Source organism: Homo sapiens, chromosome 3 (genome assembly GCF_000001405.40).
Source record: "Homo sapiens chromosome 3, GRCh38.p14 Primary Assembly".
In the NCBI taxonomy this organism is placed as follows: Eukaryota; Metazoa; Chordata; class Mammalia; order Primates; family Hominidae; genus Homo; species Homo sapiens.
The window spans coordinates 130,837,819-130,853,177 of NC_000003.12; the positions used below are offsets into that span (position 1 = coordinate 130,837,819).

Below are 15,359 nucleotides of genomic sequence, written 5' to 3' on the forward strand. Positions count from 1 at the left end.
GACATAGTACATGAATTGAAGACATGAACAATAGAAGGCATACAAAGTGAAACATGGGGAAAAAGAATACAGAAATTGCCGGGCTTGGTGGCTCACACCTGTAATCCCAGCACTTTGGGAGGCTGAGGCAGTTGGATCACTTGAGGTCAGGAGATCAAGACCAGCCTGGCCAACACGGCAAAACCCCCATCTCTGTTAAAAATACAAAAACTAGCCGGGAGTGGTGGTACATATCTGTAATCCCAGCTACTCAGGAGGCTGAGGCAGGAGAATCACTTGAACCTGGAAGGCAGAGGTTGCAGTGAGCCGAGATCATGCCACTGCACTCCAGCCTGGGTGACAGAGAGTGGCTCTATCTCAAAAAAAAAAAAAAAAAAAAAAAAAAAAAGAAAGAAAAAAACTAATGAGCTGTGGGACAACTTTAAGTGGCCTAAGACACATGTTATTGAGGACTCCTAAAGAGGGAGCAGAAGAAATGTTTGAGTAAATAATGGCCAAAATTTTTTTTACTTGATTAAAACAATAAACCCACAGATTTATTGTTTTTAATAAACAAGAAATGAATGTATTGTTCAATGAAAACAAGCACAAGAAGCATAACATAGAAGACACCAAGACACATAATCAAACTGCTCAAAACCAATAATGAAGAGCAAAATCTTAAATGATTTGGAGTATTTCAGAGTTACTGGACAGATCTGGAACAGTGTTCCGGAAATTATAAATGTGTATTATCTTTTTATATCTTTTTTAGAACCACACACACTCTAGAAATATTAGGTTACATTAGAAACAGCTGGAAAGCAAAGAGACAAGTTAGGAGGGTTTTAAGGAGTACCATAGAAGTTTAGTGAACCTGAACTGGGATTGTGAAGTAACAATGGAATGTAGGAAACATTTAAGAATTAAAACTGACAGCAATTGAAGACTGTATGAGAAGGTGAAAAATAGCACTTGCTAGGAACTGACCAATAATATCAAAATTCATTGATCTAAGAGAGAAGATAATGATTTAATTTTGTACATGCTGAATTTGAGGTACATATAGATTCTTATATTGGGAAAGATATCTGGTATTCAGATACAGGTTTGGGAGTCATTAACACATAAACGGAATGTTCCCAAGTCCTTAAGCCTTCTTATGACATCTTTACCTGTAATATATCCAAATAAAATGGCCTGAATTTCAATTCTATGCATGTAAATGCAAGAAATCTGGGCCTACTAAGTATTCCTAGTGCAAAATGGGGAAGTCTAAGACCCAAACCTCTGAGGAAGGAGGCACTGGCCAGCTAGCACTCCTGTGTCTGAACTCAGAGGAGAGGAGGAGACTCCTGGGGGCTGGAACCCAGATCTTTGAGGAGAGAAGACTGGTTGGGAGTGGTAGAAAAACTGCAAGCTGGATTCAGCTTCTCCTAAAAAAGTGAACTACTGCTGCTGAAGTCCAGTCCCTGAGGTGAAAAAAGTGTTGCTTGAGTGATTGTCAAGAACAGGAAGCAAAACTAAAAAAGGAATAAGTCCCCTCTTATTCCTTCACTTTCTGTTTCTTTCCATTGGCAAAGGCTAATGGGGAACAGCTGGCAAAGCAGAAAAAAAGTGTGTAGAATCCCAGCGTTGCTAAGTAGAGAACAGAATTTTGAGTCTGGAGTTGAGAAACAATAACTTAATAATTGGCATACTCCTCTTAGTGGGACACTGTCTTTTTCTGGCTCTGATAAGGAATTATGCTTCCAAGGAATGGTTGTCTTAAGTATAGCTTGATGGTCACATGGAGCTGGCTGTGCTTTCAGAAGGAAAGGTAGAGCATGAATTCTGTCATAAGTGACCCCTTGTTTTCCACAAACAAGGCGAACTGTGCATTTGAGAAGAGAGAAGCTAAGCTAGGACCACACTGAAAAGTTGGTGTCCTGTAAAATTCTTTAAAAATGTGTTCTTTAGCACTTGCATGTTTAAAATTAGCAAAATGAAATCTTCATTCAGATGTTCTAGCCAATCTGATCCATTTTACATTTCGAATGGTAGTCTCCGCATTACATCTGCCACAATCAATTGCAAGAAGCCCAGCCACAGACTGGAAGAAACTCAAGTGGCTCTGGCAATGTTAGCTGCCAAATAAAGACACCTGTTACAAGGCTGCCTCTTTGCAAAACAAAGGAAGTAACTCCTAATAAGGACAGAAGTGTAAGAAATAATGCAGATGGAAGTTGAAAGTTGGACACCTGCTGTTAAGTGGGGGGCGGGGCAGTCAGTTTTCATATGTGACATGCCTGGTAGGAAGTCATGAAAAACACTTGGGGAAAAATTCTTGGGAAGGAGAAAACCTTGAAACACTCTTGGAAACAGACTTGTTTATGCATTTGTAGCCACGTGAATGAAGGGGACTTAACCCATGCTGTCATTTTGAGCTACTTTTCCAATTCTGCAGAACAGTGGCAATAACAGCACTTCTGTTGCCCTATCCCCCTCTTCAACCTTATATTCTTTTGGAGCTTGACAAGCTCAGAGTTTAAAACATTGTTTTCATTGTGGAGCATCTCAGAATCATAACATGTCAGATCTAGACAGGACCTGGAGCAGGAGAAATCATAAAGAGCTAAAAGGAATTCTATAGCAATAAAAATGTTAGAACTATAAACAAAGGCTTCTGGGGAGATAGAGTAATATGTAAGTGTTTGAAAACTAATATTGAGGAAGGGAAGAGATTGTTTGGAATAGCTTAAGGAAATAACTTAAAATAATTTAAAATAAAGCAACTGTGAAGTAGAATAAGGATACATTTTAACGCTGAAGATAGATAGTAATGGAGAATTTATTCATTTTGATGAAATGTTTTACACAATTAATACAGGGCTCCTTCATCCAGGGAAATGAAGCATCATATAAATAAATTTTTAGTAGATAATATTATTCAAAATTGTATAAAGATGTTGATTCCTCACATTTAGGAAAGATAGAGCAATTTAGGTATAAACAGGTATTGTTTTAGTCATAATTAATGAGCCTAACAATGGGCTATTACTACCACCACTAGGAGCCTTCCGTCCATATTTCCATCCTAAAACAACTTGACTCATCCAATCAACACATTGTTATACTATTCATAGGTCAACCACTGCACAAATTCTTCAGTGATCATGGATAATTAGCATTTATTGACTACCTATTTGCTAATTAATCTTTCATAAAATTATTTTATTTTGATCTTTAAATGAAAGCTTTTTATGGCATTGATTATTATTATTATTATTATTATTTTTTTTTTTTTGAGACAGAGTCTTGCTCTGTCACCCAGGCTGGAGTGCAGTGGTGTGATCTCAGATCTCAGCTCACCTCAATATCCACCTCCCGGATTCAAGCGATTCTCCTGTCTCAGCCTCCCGAGTTCCTGGGATTACAGGAGTGCGCCACCATGCCTGGCTAATTTTTGTATTTTTAGTAGAGATGGGTTTCACCATGTTGGCCAGGCTGGTCACGAACTCCCGACCTCAAGTGATCTGCCCACCTTGGCCTCCCAAAGTGCTGGGATTACAGGTGCTAGCCACCACACCTGGCCTATGGCATTCGTTTAACATGCTGAGTAATGGTAGCATCAAGTACACAATATAATGGAATTTGGTTTGAGGTTATATTAAAGACCAGGAATATACAGGAAGGAAATGGTGACTCTCAGTATTGGGAAGCATACACTCTATGTGTCATGGGGATGAGGAGGACCTGATCACATATCTGTTACTTCAGCCACAGTAATCCAGACCTAAAATAGCTCATTAGTCACAACAGTTTTTAAATAGAAAGAATGACATCAAAAAAACTTGTTGGTTGGTGTGCTTTTCAGCTTAGTTCACGTTCTAAGCACATATATTAAATACCTACAGTGCAGCAGGCACTCTGCAGGGAGAAGGAAGCAGGTACAAAACAGCTGTCAAGGCAGTGATGCATAATGGCTAAGAATTTAGGATTTGGAGTAAAATAGAGATGGTTGGAATCTTAAGTGGGTCACTAACTTGCTATGTGCTCTCAGGCAAGTAACTTGACTTCTTTAAGCCTTATTTCTACTTCACAGGATGCAGATCCAAGCAAAACTCAAAACACAGTGTTCAACACAGAGTAAGCATCAACAAATGATTATTAATAATATCAAATATGAATATTTAATAATATTTAGTAATAATTTAGTTACTTGAGCCCTGGGAGCTTGCAATCTTGTTTGAATACAGAAGTTGGAATACCTCTTTATAAAGTGAACAGTATTATAATGGAGGTTGAAATAAAATACAGGGAGAGGCATTCGTTTCTAGCAGGAGAGTTGAAGAGATTGGGGAAAGTTTTACAAACGATGTAACATATTAACTATTAAGAAAAGTTAATTTCTAAATAGTAGATTGTCTTCTAAGTAATCTATAAGTTTGTACCTGTGATGATAACACAGGAATAGACATGCAGAGCATCTGAAAATAGATTCAAGTTGTTATGGACTGAATTGTTTCCCTCCCTAAATTTATGTGTTGAGGTCATAAACTGCTGTACCTCAGAATGTGATGTTATTTGGAGATAGGGTTTTTATTTGGAGATAGGAAGACCATGTGAATATACAAGGTGAAGATGGTCATCTAGAAGCCAAAGAGAGAGGCCTCAGAAGAAACCAATCCTGCCAACACCTTGATCTCAGGCTGCTAGCCTCCAGATTTATGAGACAAAAAATTTCTATTGTTTAAGCCACTCAGTCTGCAGCACTTTGTTATGTCAGACCTGGCAAACTAATACACAGTATATACTAGAAATGAATAAATGATAAATGTGGAATTATAATTCTGTGGAGAATGAATATATGGGGCTAGGAACATCACCTATCCATTTGCAAGAAAGTAGAATAGGGCTGGCGTAGTGGCTCACACCTCTAATCCCAGCACTTTGGGAGGCCGAGGCGGGAGAATCACGAGGTCAGGAGATCAAGACCATCCTGGCAAACACAGTGAAATCCCGTCTCTACTAAAAATACAAAAAAAAAAAAAAAAAAAAAATACTAGCCAAGCGTGGTGGCAGGCGCCTACAGTCCCAGCTACTTGGGAGGCTGAGGCAGGAGAATGGCATGAACCCGGGAGGTGGGGCTTGCAGTGAGCCGAGATCAAGCCACTGCACTCCAGCCTGGGTGACAGAGCGAGACTCTGTCTCAAAAAAAAAAAAAAAAAAAAAAAAAGAAAGTAGAATAGATCTCTACTTCATTTCATATACAAAAATACATTTTAAATGGTGTTAAATATCTAAATGTAAAAGACAAAGCATATTAGAAAACATGGAGAAAGGCTGGGCATGGTGGCTCACGCCTGTAATCCCAGCACTTTGGGAGGCCAAGGTGTGGGGTGGGGGAATGGATCACCTGAGGTCAGGAGTTCGAGACCAGCCTGACCAACATGGTGAAACCCCGTCTCTACTAAAAATATAAAAATTAGCCAGGTTGTGGTGGTGTACACCTACAGTAATCCCAGCTACTCAGGAGGCTAAGGCGAGAGAATCGCTTGAACCCAGGAGGTAGAGGTTGCAGTGAGCTTAGATTGCACCACTGCACTCCAGCCTGGGTGACAGAGGGAGATTCTGTCTAAAAAAAAAAAAAGAAAGATAAATATTTTATAACATCAGGGTCAGGGAAATCTTTCTTAGCAAGTCAGTTAAACCCAGGAACCAAACACTGGTAAACTGGACATGCATTAAGGGTGGTAGCAGCCCTGTGGCTGACAGGATAACTTTGAGCCAGGTGCCTAATGCTGCAATGAATGAAGAGCCTGCCAGGGAAAGAGAACACTCTAAACAACTGTCAGGCCCAGAGAGAATGAGGCCAACTTACAACAGCACCAGCCAAGTGAGAGCTTTCTATTCACAGTGTCTCTCCTTCCAACCCCTGCCTTTGCCCTGGCAGCTTCAGAAATCTCAGTGAGCAAGCTAGGAGAGGAGGAGAAATGCGAGAGTGAGACCACTCCTCTCTGTTCTGCTGAAAGTAGTCAGTGCTCAGTAGGTTTCAGCTAAAGTGAAGTGAGAAGGTCAATCATGTTGAAAATATTTTCTTCGACTAGGCTATATCAAATTGAGACTTGCTTAGGATGAAATTATTGTAGGATTTTCTAGTTCCTTTGAGTAACTAAAAAAGTCATGCAGCCTGCTCCAAAATTTACTCATATACAGAGGAAGGTGCACACACACACACACACACACACACACACACACACACACACAGGTCATATATAAAGGGATAGTAGGAGTAGAAAATAATTTCTTTTTATAATATCACCCCATGACTTCCCTGTGTTCAGTGAAGAACTTACACACAGAAAGAACTTACCTAGTGAGAAAAAAAAATCAGGGGGAACCTATTCTAGATAGAAAAGTATGGAAACCCCCTCCAAGCAGGTATGATTTAAGCTGAGGCCTAAAGAATGAAAAAGAAGGCAGCTGCATACAGGGAGAAGGATTGCTATTTTTTAAAGGTACAAACTCAAAGAGCCAAGAGAACAGGAGTGAAAATAAACGCCAATCTTCCGCAAAGAAATTTCTATCCTCTCCTTAATGGAGTAAGAAGGGGTCTGGTCAAAATGCTTCTTAACAATTGCCAACCAACCACCTTGTTTCTGCCCCCATTTCCAGAATTACTTGGTCTGCCAATTCTGGAGCCTTTGGGGAATTCTGTAGTGCAAATTGGGTTTCTTCTCTGTGTTCCTTGCTGTTGCCTTAACCTTCAGCTCATTTGTTAAGTGAGTTACCACTTGTTCTTCTGTTCCCTGGCTTCCACATTGTTACCATCTGTGCTAAGTGTTGGGGACAAAATGGTGACTGAGATGAACAAGATTCCTGCCCTCATGGAGCTTATGTTCCAGTAGAGGAGACCAAAAAAAAAAAAGAGTAAACAAATGAATTTAAAAATAGCAAACTGTCATGAGTATTAATGGAAGAAACTCACGCAATTAAAATTGGAGTTTAAACTAAGCCTCTGAGAGAGTGTTGATTTTGCATTCCAAAACAGGTACTGGACTCTTGCTAATTAAAGTAAGGTACACGGAAACAGAACATCAACATCATCCTAGAACTTGTTAGAAATGCAGAATCTGGGGCTCCATCCCAGACCTTCCAGGTAATTCATATGCACATGAAAGATTGAGAAGCATTATAGTAAAACCATATTTTTAGTTTTCATATAGAATTATCAGTAGCATGCCCACCAATTTGAAATTACCCCATTTTCCTTAAAAGGAAAAGCCTCTTTCCTCTTCTTCTGGGTTGGTGCTAGGCCTCCCAGAGGAGCAAATCATGACTGATGGGGAGAAGAAGGCAACACAGCTTCAAAGACCTGCCCCAAATCCATCAAAAACAGTAAGTTTGCTGGGAGATTTGAATGTTTCTGTTAAAGGAATAATTTGCAATTCCATCCTGAGTGGGAATTCTCAAGACTGGATGAAAGAAGATAGAGTTAGAGGATTCATCCCAAACCATGGGCATGTTGGAGACAAAGATGAGCAGGTTGTACTTGGCGATGGGTTTGAGAAAGGATGTGATTTGGGAGATTCTTGGTGGTAAGGGGGTTCCCTGTTTCAGGTTTAGGATCCCTCCATCCCAACTTGAAAAGGATGAGAAGCTAGTGGCAGAAGAGGGAGAAGAGGGGGCATTGGGTAGAGCTGGCTCTATTTTTTGGTCCTGGGCCTAAAGCAAGAGTTGATTTCCCTGAACTAAGGCTACTAATAGCACCACTGTACCTTGACAAGAGAAAATGAGTGAGAGAGAATGTGGGAGCAGTCAGATATCAAGTCAAGATATCACCTGATGAGAGGCCCATGTGAAGACTGATATGCAGGAATTTCCTTATGGGAAAGTGGCTGCAAAAAAAGAGATGGGCATTGGCCTGAGGAAAACCACCCCTACTGGGGAAGTGTGTTTTAAATTGTGGGCCTGCTGGAAGCTCTCAAAGTGCTTTAGCAAACAGGGCATCTATCTTTCAAACTCCACCTGGGAAATCCCTCTACAGCCATGTCCCTACCTGATAGCTCCCAAACCAGTGGCTCTCAAAGTGAGGTTCCCAGCAGCATCAGCATCACTGGAGAAGTTGTTAAAAAAGCAAAATCTCTGCTCCTCCCGCAAGACCTACAGAATTAGAAAGTCTGAGGGTGGGGCCCAGCCACCTGTGCTTTAACAAGCCCTCCAGATGATTCAAATGTATGTTCAAGTTTGGCCTAAACTATGCAGAAAATGTCTTTTTTTCTTCAGTGGAGGACAAGTGTCTCATGAGCGTGGAAATATTGTTAAATTTGAGAAATTAATACTTGAAACCGAAGAGCAAAAGGCATAAAAGTTGCACAGTTTATAGAGCAATTAGAAACATCAAAGTTGCTGAATGATGGTTGTAATGGGAATATAGAGGGATTTTTGAAAGTGAATTTTGGGAAAGTAAAAATACACCATCTGCAGATGTAGGATAATTATTCCCTATGTGGTGAGGGCACTAAGAAAATGTACTGTGAAGTAGCAGAAGTGCTTTAATCATGCAATAAGGTGGAATCTGGTGCTGCATAAACTTGCCCTGATGAGCAATATTAAATGCCTCCCATTCCTCTCTTGATTGTATTTGATGCTGTCCTTAGGGGAGTGTAAGACTGGACCAGTATCTACAGATCTAGTGGGATGAGAGTGATTTCTCAGTAGAATTCATAATAATAAATGATTTCTGTTTTCTGAGCTAGCAGCTTCTCCATCATCCTAACTGCCGGCCCTTCACTCTGTATCCAGGCTGGATTAATTCCCAGAGAATGGAGTCATTTTCCTGATGGGAACTCTTAGCACTGATTGGAAGGAGGAGATTAGCGGGCTTTTCATTTTTGTCCTGATGCAATTTGAAAATCTCATCAATTCAAAGGTATCCTGGAGACACTGTTTCTCAATTCTTGTTTCATGTTTCTCAACCTGTATTTAACCCTTGGATCCAATTCTTTCTTCTTTGTCATTCTCTTTCAATGAATATGCATTGGTATATGTTAACTTAACACCTACTGTGTGCAATGCACAGTGCTAGATGACTTCACAAACCTACATTTTCATCCTATCTTCTTTAACATTTGAAAAAGAATAAACTGTAAAATATCTTTCTGCTCACTCCCTTACCACTATTTTTCCTGGTGTTGGCTTTGCCTCATTATGTTGCTTTTCAAGTGAAGAATTTGGGATTCCCCATACTTTAAGCCATTTGCAAAAAAGCAGATTATTATTAGAAAGCACAGAGAACACACAAATATCCTTTCATTGTGGGATTACAGCCTTAACCTATGACTTTCCTGGATTCATGGTTTCTGTTAGTTATTTTTCTATCGAGGACGAGGGGTGGGAGTGAGTTCTGCAAAATAACAGATAACTGCTTCCACTCTTTTTTTTTTTCTTTTTCTTTTTGAGACAGAGTCTTGCTCTGTCACCCAGGCTGGAGTGCAATGGCGTGATCTCGGCTCGCTGCAACCTCTGCCTCCCAGGTTCAAGTGATTCTCCTACCTCAGCCTCCTGAGTAGCTGGGATTACAGGCACACACCACCACGCCCAGCTAATTTTACTATTTTTAGTAGAGACAGGGTTTCACCATCTTGGCCAGGCTGGTCTTGAACTCCTGACCTCATGATCTGCCTTCCTTGGCCTCCCAAAGTGCTGGGATTACAGGCGTGAGCCACCGTGCCCGGCCTGCTTCCACTCTTTATTGTGCTACTTTGCAGAGGGCAAAATATACCTCATATACTTGTGGAAGAAACACTGGGCCCTTCAGTCCTTGCAGATATAGATTGTAGCCACCAGGACTCTGGTCAGCTGTCTTTCATCAAGGCACCTGAGCCACAGGGGCAATAAAAAATGGCACGCCTTAAAAAAAAAAAAAAAAAAAAAAGGGCACTTCTCCAAGCTGTGATGGCAGAGATGTCCATACTGTAAACTTAAGGAGACTATGCCTACCACCTGAGAAACAGGGTGCATAAATTCCCACATTCATATTTTATTAAATATAGACGGACCATTGAAACCTATGTCAAACAGAAACTGAGATTGTAGTAGTTTTCAAAAATTGGGAAGCAGAATATCTGTATCTACAAATACAGCTTCTTTTTAGCATCACCAGAATCATTTCATAAAGGAATCTTTAAGAGGTAGGTAATGATATGAACATTATTTATAGAGAATTCAGGACAGGAGGTTGTATGATTGTTTGAGAAGACGTACTTGCTCTCCAATCGTAGTCTGCAAATTCCTAGCCATCTGTATTTGTATTTCTCTCTCTTTTTTTTTTTTGGAGACAGAGTCTTGCTCTGTTGCCCAGGATGGAGTGCAGTGGCACGATCTGGGCTCACTGCAGCCTCCGCCTCCCAGGTTCAAGTGATTCTCTTGCCTTAGTCTCCCAAGTAGCTGGGATTACAGGCACGCACCACCACACTCAGCTAAGTTTTTGTATTTTTAGTAGAGACGAGGTTTCACCATGTTGGCCAGGCTGGTCTCAAACTCCTGACCTCAAGTGATCTGCCCGCCTTGGCCTCCCAAAATGCTGGGATTACCAGTGTGAGCCACCATGCCTGGCCTGTATTCCTCTTTAACAAGGTAACACCATGTCTTTCCTTCTTCAAGTTAATAGGTCCTTGAGAATTCATTTCTGGGAGTGGGTTAAGTGGTTCTGCAGTATACAGGTTGGATACAGATACTGGAGTCAGGTTTACCTGGTTAGAATCCCCTTCGCCTCTGTTTTTGCAGCTGTGCGACCTCAGCAAATTGTTACCTTCTCTGAGCTTTAGTTTACCCATATGTTACTGTAGGATTACATGTGATAATACATGTAAAGACTTTAGCACATCACCTGGCCAAAGGGCCCAATTAGTATTAGATACGATTTATATTCGTTATCAATTAAATTCCTAAAGGAATTTTAATTGAATTTGTTTCACCCATTTTTCTTTTTTGTGCTTAATCTAATAGAACAGTTTTTGTTTGGGGATGCTGCATTTCTCCCTCCCCATTTCTTTTCATCACTCACCTCAGCCCCAGAAAAAGTGATCCTGAAACAACTGTGGAAATGAAGTCTGCTTTGTGTTCGTCTGTTGGGAAAAGATTGGATCACCAGTCATGCTGTGGGTGTTTAGCAGGCTGCTGGCTTCTGCCCACAATAAAGAGGCATCTCTGAAGGTTCTGATATTTTTAAAAAGAGAAGCAAAAGGGCAGTTAGTGGATCTCAAGGGTTCGTATGAACGACACATTTCCCTGCCCCCACAATCCCTAGGGCTGCCTCTCTTTCCAGGGCTTCAAGTTGGCCCAGGGTATCTGGCTTTCTATACTTCTTGTTTTTCTGGGTCATGAACTGGCAGGGAGCATGCAGCACTGTGCCCTTAGCATTCAGGTGTTTCACAAGCACACTGCTTCTCTCTTGCCCTCATTAGAGTCAGCTGTCTCCAGCATACAGAGAAGGACGTGCAGAGCCTCTGTATGCATGTAGCATGGTGCACCTGGAGAGGTGACAGAAGGGCAGGGCCTCCTCCTAGGAGCCAGCTCCAGTAGCAATATGTAAATGACTTCTTGGAATTGCCAGGCTGGTCCTGGTGAGTCTGGAAGATCACCTTGCTAGTGGGCCCAATGCCAACCTGACAGATGGCCTGGGCTGCTTGCAGCACAACCAGGTTTAGGCCATCAAGTGTGTTCCCTGAAGGCAGGTGACCCATCCAGGAGTGTCAGGGAGGCTGTCCAGGGGGACAACTAAGGCTGCAATGTAATTTCCCCAGCTCTGCCTACCTCCTCTTCCCCGCAACTTGCAGTGCTCTCTAGGAAGAGGGAAAAACCAGGGCTTGCTTTCACCCTTAAAGAAAACTCTGGGTCACATAATTTTTGTTGATGTCCAGTCTGTTTTCTACATGACAGCCCCTCACAGAAGTGACCAAATGTTTCCATCAAAGGAACCAGCTACTGTAAAGTTTAAAAGGATAATAAAATAGTAATGTCTATTTGGGGCCCTAGTTTAGAAAAACCCTGTGATCTCTATAAAGTATTAAGAAAATATTGAACTTTCAAATTTTATGATTTCATGTCCTCTAAGACCACAGACCTCTTGGCATTATTTTTCTTTTGTTCTTTTTTTTTTAAGCATGAATCTTTTTTTTAATAAGAGTTAGAAAGTAAACATAAAACATTTTCTCTCACTTACATTCATAGTTTTTAAAAGCCTAGGGAAAGTTAATGTTTCTGAATTCAGCCTGTGGATTTGAGATAAGGATTCAAGGAGAGAAGGCTTTTAACTCAGAACAGAATCTGTTTGCAGCTATTGTTCAATTAATGTAAAGTATCTGGTTACTGGGCATGTTGCATAATGCATCACAGTGCAAGCCAAACGTTTTCAGTGCTGACAACGAGCTCCTTGATAACAATGAAGAGTGAGGTAATTTGTTAAATTTTTTTGGAAGTCCCCTATAACAGTCTTCTCAAGACTGAATGAATCAACACTTTCCAGCTCAGACCGCAACTGAGCTGTGTGTCTGTGTGTGCGCATGATGATAAGAAATCTAGAAGGAAACTGGGAAAACCACATCTCATGCCCTGTTTAAGAACTAGAAAAAGTGTCAGAAGAATTAAAATTAAGCCTCACGAGAGTCTGTGGGTATGGAAAGTCACCAGCTAGCTAATATTAACATAGCTTGCAACAGAACACTGTTGCTAGAAATAGGACAGTCGCATCACTACCACTAAGCAATTTGCATTCTGTGGACCAGCCCCTGAATTCCTATTGCCCTTTGGGCATTGCATTTCTGGACGCTTCTAGACAGTGTTCATACTTGGCTGTCTGGTTTCACCAGGAACTCTACCCAAAAGAGGAAACAGCAAGGAGAACATTTGCTTTGTTTGTAGGAGGGAAGTTGTCGAGCTACAAACAAATCTTTAGGCATCTGAGGAATTGCTAAGTTTCTAATTTCATATGGTTGCTGACAAGGAGGTGCAGACAAGGACCCTCTTGCTTTCCTCACTATGGATAGTCTGTTGCCTCCATCTAGATTCTCTTATTTCAAAAAATATCCTCTCCATGCAATTAGGAGATATTTATCGACGCTGAGAAACCAAAGAGCCGAAGAACAGGTATCATTTTGTTTATATTATCTTTAAAATGAACGGGTGCTTGTTCCTTGTTGCTTTTACGTCGCTTAGTGATTTCATTTGTGCTGGTTTACATGTTTATAGGTACAGGTCAGATCCTGCTTGTGGCTGTTCAGACTTGGCAATCAGAAAGCAAGCAGGCTTGTGAGAATTTATTTAAACTTGGAACATTCAGATCCTGAGATTAAGCGGAGTTCTGTAATGAAGCCACATGCTTTCTTTCTTCTAAAGAGCTACTCTATCAAAGTTAAATTTTGAATTCTTTGATCATTTTCCAATGCCTCAGATACAAAATTTGACACTATTAATATCTCAACAAAGAAAGTATCAGACCCTAGAAGTACACTTGTCTTCTTGTATTTATGGTTATGTTTACATAGCCAGAATTTGCAAAACAAAAAACATTTTATAAACTATAATAACCTTAAACAGATCATTAACAAGCTATAAAGATCATTCAGAAGCAGTTGGTCATTTTTGTGTGTGTAAAAGGTAGGAGGTAGAGCACTGCCATATTCAGTCTTTTTAGCCAATCAAAAGCTATGATTTCCAGCAGGAGACACTATCACTTGGGAATATAAGCATTTTTAAAACTGTTAAAATGTCTGATCACATCTCATTTAAAATCATGCAGTCATTTTTATGGTGTGAGATTTATATCATTCCATTTCTTTGATCTCCAAAAAAGACATTTCTAAAAATGATTTTTATGAATTTTACCAAATTGTTAGAAGAAGTAGCAATATCTGATCCATTTAAATCTAGTGATTCATTTAGGAAGAAGTGTGGCGGTGGTATACAAATGTGAAGGACAAATGTATAGCCATACCAAAGACCCAGCAGTCATAAATTGCTTGTGCATTGTGCTTGTAACTAGAACTGCAAAACTATGCAGGAGATATCACCAGTGTCCTGTATTTTTTTCTCCTTTGTGATATGAGATGACCCACTTAATAAAACACTTCCAGGAAATGCAAGATAGGTTTAGCAGACAGAAAATCCTCTCATGACAGGTTTCCCAAAAAGGCAATGCATAATTTGGAAAATAAAAATCATTGCTACTGTTTGAGAGGAAACTGCTTGTATGCCCTGCTTTAATAATTTTACAAGGGCCAGAAATTCAAACAGACTCTGTTCACTAAGGGAGCTAGGCTGGTCCAGTTTATCTTACTTAGGCAAGGTGTCACCATTAAAAGACCAACTTTTGGTTTCCAAGTTTCAGCCTGCACTTGCTTTTGATGTAGAAAGCTAGAGAACCAAGTGGTAGGGCTGTATAAGTTTTTGTTTGCCAATCTTTTAATGTTCACGGGCTTCTTCAGGCCTCATTTATTATGGAAGGAAGAGAGGTGGCTGAAAGGATGGGAACACAACTGTGGAATGTGAATTGAGTGATTTTTTTTTTCTCAGTATTGTAAGTTTTCAGAGATGTGGCTATATTGCTTGTGTAGTTCTATGGTTCTTTGTTTTTAGTTTATTGAAGAAGTATTACAAAATGCATTCAGAAGACCATTAGAATTTAACATAAAACCTCTGACTTGGACAGGGTGGGTAGTCCCTTCCCCAGTGTACAACCATTTGGGACAACCTAGGAACAGCTGGGAGTGAGTATTATGCTGAGTTCTTAAATTCTTATATAAGTGAATTGAATAATTAAGAGAAATAATATATTTGATTTCTTTTTAAAGCCAACTACAGCTCTGCAGACCTAATGTCTCACAGAATTAGAGAAATTAGGTCAGAGTTCATCATAACTAACCTTGAAAGCTTGTTGGGAAGTTATAAAGGAGGTTAATAATGTCTACAATCTTATGACCTGCATATTTGTTGCCTCTAATCCTTACATTCTTGTATAACTAATCCTTGATATAAAAGTGAAGGGATTGAGACTTAGAGCCCTTAAGAGCCCTTGCCCATGCAGCTAGAAAGTACCAGAGGAAGATGTGAATTTCTATCTCATGGCTTTAAATTTTATTCATTTTACCACGCTTGATCCCTGAACAATCTAGTAATAGCAAAATATCACCCTGCTAACTTTTCTCCTTGAGAGATTTCTAAAATTTCCTATATTCACATAGCACTGTCATAATTTTTACTGTTTACCACATCTGTATGATTAATTCCTCAATATTTTTCTGTATTTGTACTTAAATCACATTATTAGAGTTTATTTAGAAAAAAAGTTCATATCATGACTGTAAATGGAAAACCATTGTCATTAGCCGTAAGTAAAA

At 40.0% G+C, this 15,359-nt stretch overlaps 1 protein-coding gene and 2 long non-coding RNA genes across 9 annotated transcripts in view, besides 3 other annotated features; 2 read left to right on the forward strand and 1 right to left on the reverse strand.

Annotated features, from left to right (window-relative positions):
- Positions 1-15,359, reverse strand: part of LOC107986023 (uncharacterized) — a 142,619-nt gene that overhangs the window by 86,516 nt on the left and 40,744 nt on the right. The window contains exon 2 of the long non-coding RNA XR_001740492.2: positions 11,030-11,181. This is a non-coding gene — a long non-coding RNA (uncharacterized LOC107986023). The remainder of the gene's footprint in view (positions 1-11,029; positions 11,182-15,359) is intronic.
- Positions 1,007-1,772: an enhancer, noted in NCBI's record as "H3K4me1 hESC enhancer chr3:130557669-130558434 (GRCh37/hg19 assembly coordinates)". NCBI's record gives its function as "activates a minimal SCP1, AML or CMV promoter by ChIP-STARR-seq in naive H9 embryonic stem cells {active_cell/tissue: H9 hESC(naive)}" and the evidence as "EXISTENCE:reporter gene assay evidence [ECO:0000049][PMID:30033119]".
- Positions 1,773-2,536: an enhancer, noted in NCBI's record as "OCT4-NANOG-H3K4me1 hESC enhancer chr3:130558435-130559198 (GRCh37/hg19 assembly coordinates)". NCBI's record gives its function as "activates a minimal SCP1, AML or CMV promoter by ChIP-STARR-seq in primed H9 embryonic stem cells {active_cell/tissue: H9 hESC(primed)}" and the evidence as "EXISTENCE:reporter gene assay evidence [ECO:0000049][PMID:30033119]".
- Positions 7,017-8,852, forward strand: LOC105374108 (uncharacterized). The gene is made up of 3 exons (XR_924486.3): positions 7,017-7,120; positions 7,240-7,359; positions 8,767-8,852. It is a non-coding gene; the product is annotated as an uncharacterized LOC105374108 (long non-coding RNA).
- Positions 12,364-12,443: an enhancer, noted in NCBI's record as "active region_20524". NCBI's record gives its function as "activates an Ori minimal core promoter by ATAC-STARR-seq in GM12878 lymphoblastoid cells {active_cell/tissue: GM12878}" and the evidence as "EXISTENCE:reporter gene assay evidence [ECO:0000049][PMID:35858748]".
- Positions 12,777-15,359, forward strand: part of ATP2C1 (ATPase secretory pathway Ca2+ transporting 1) — a 166,118-nt gene continuing 163,535 nt past the window's right edge. For all 7 annotated transcript variants that reach the window (NM_001378511.1, NM_001199180.2, XM_047447960.1 and 4 more), the window contains exon 1: positions 12,777-13,110. In NM_001378511.1, the coding sequence (NP_001365440.1) occupies positions 13,003-13,110 (108 nt within the window). In that variant the 5' untranslated portion in view covers positions 12,777-13,002. The remainder of the gene's footprint in view (positions 13,111-15,359) is intronic.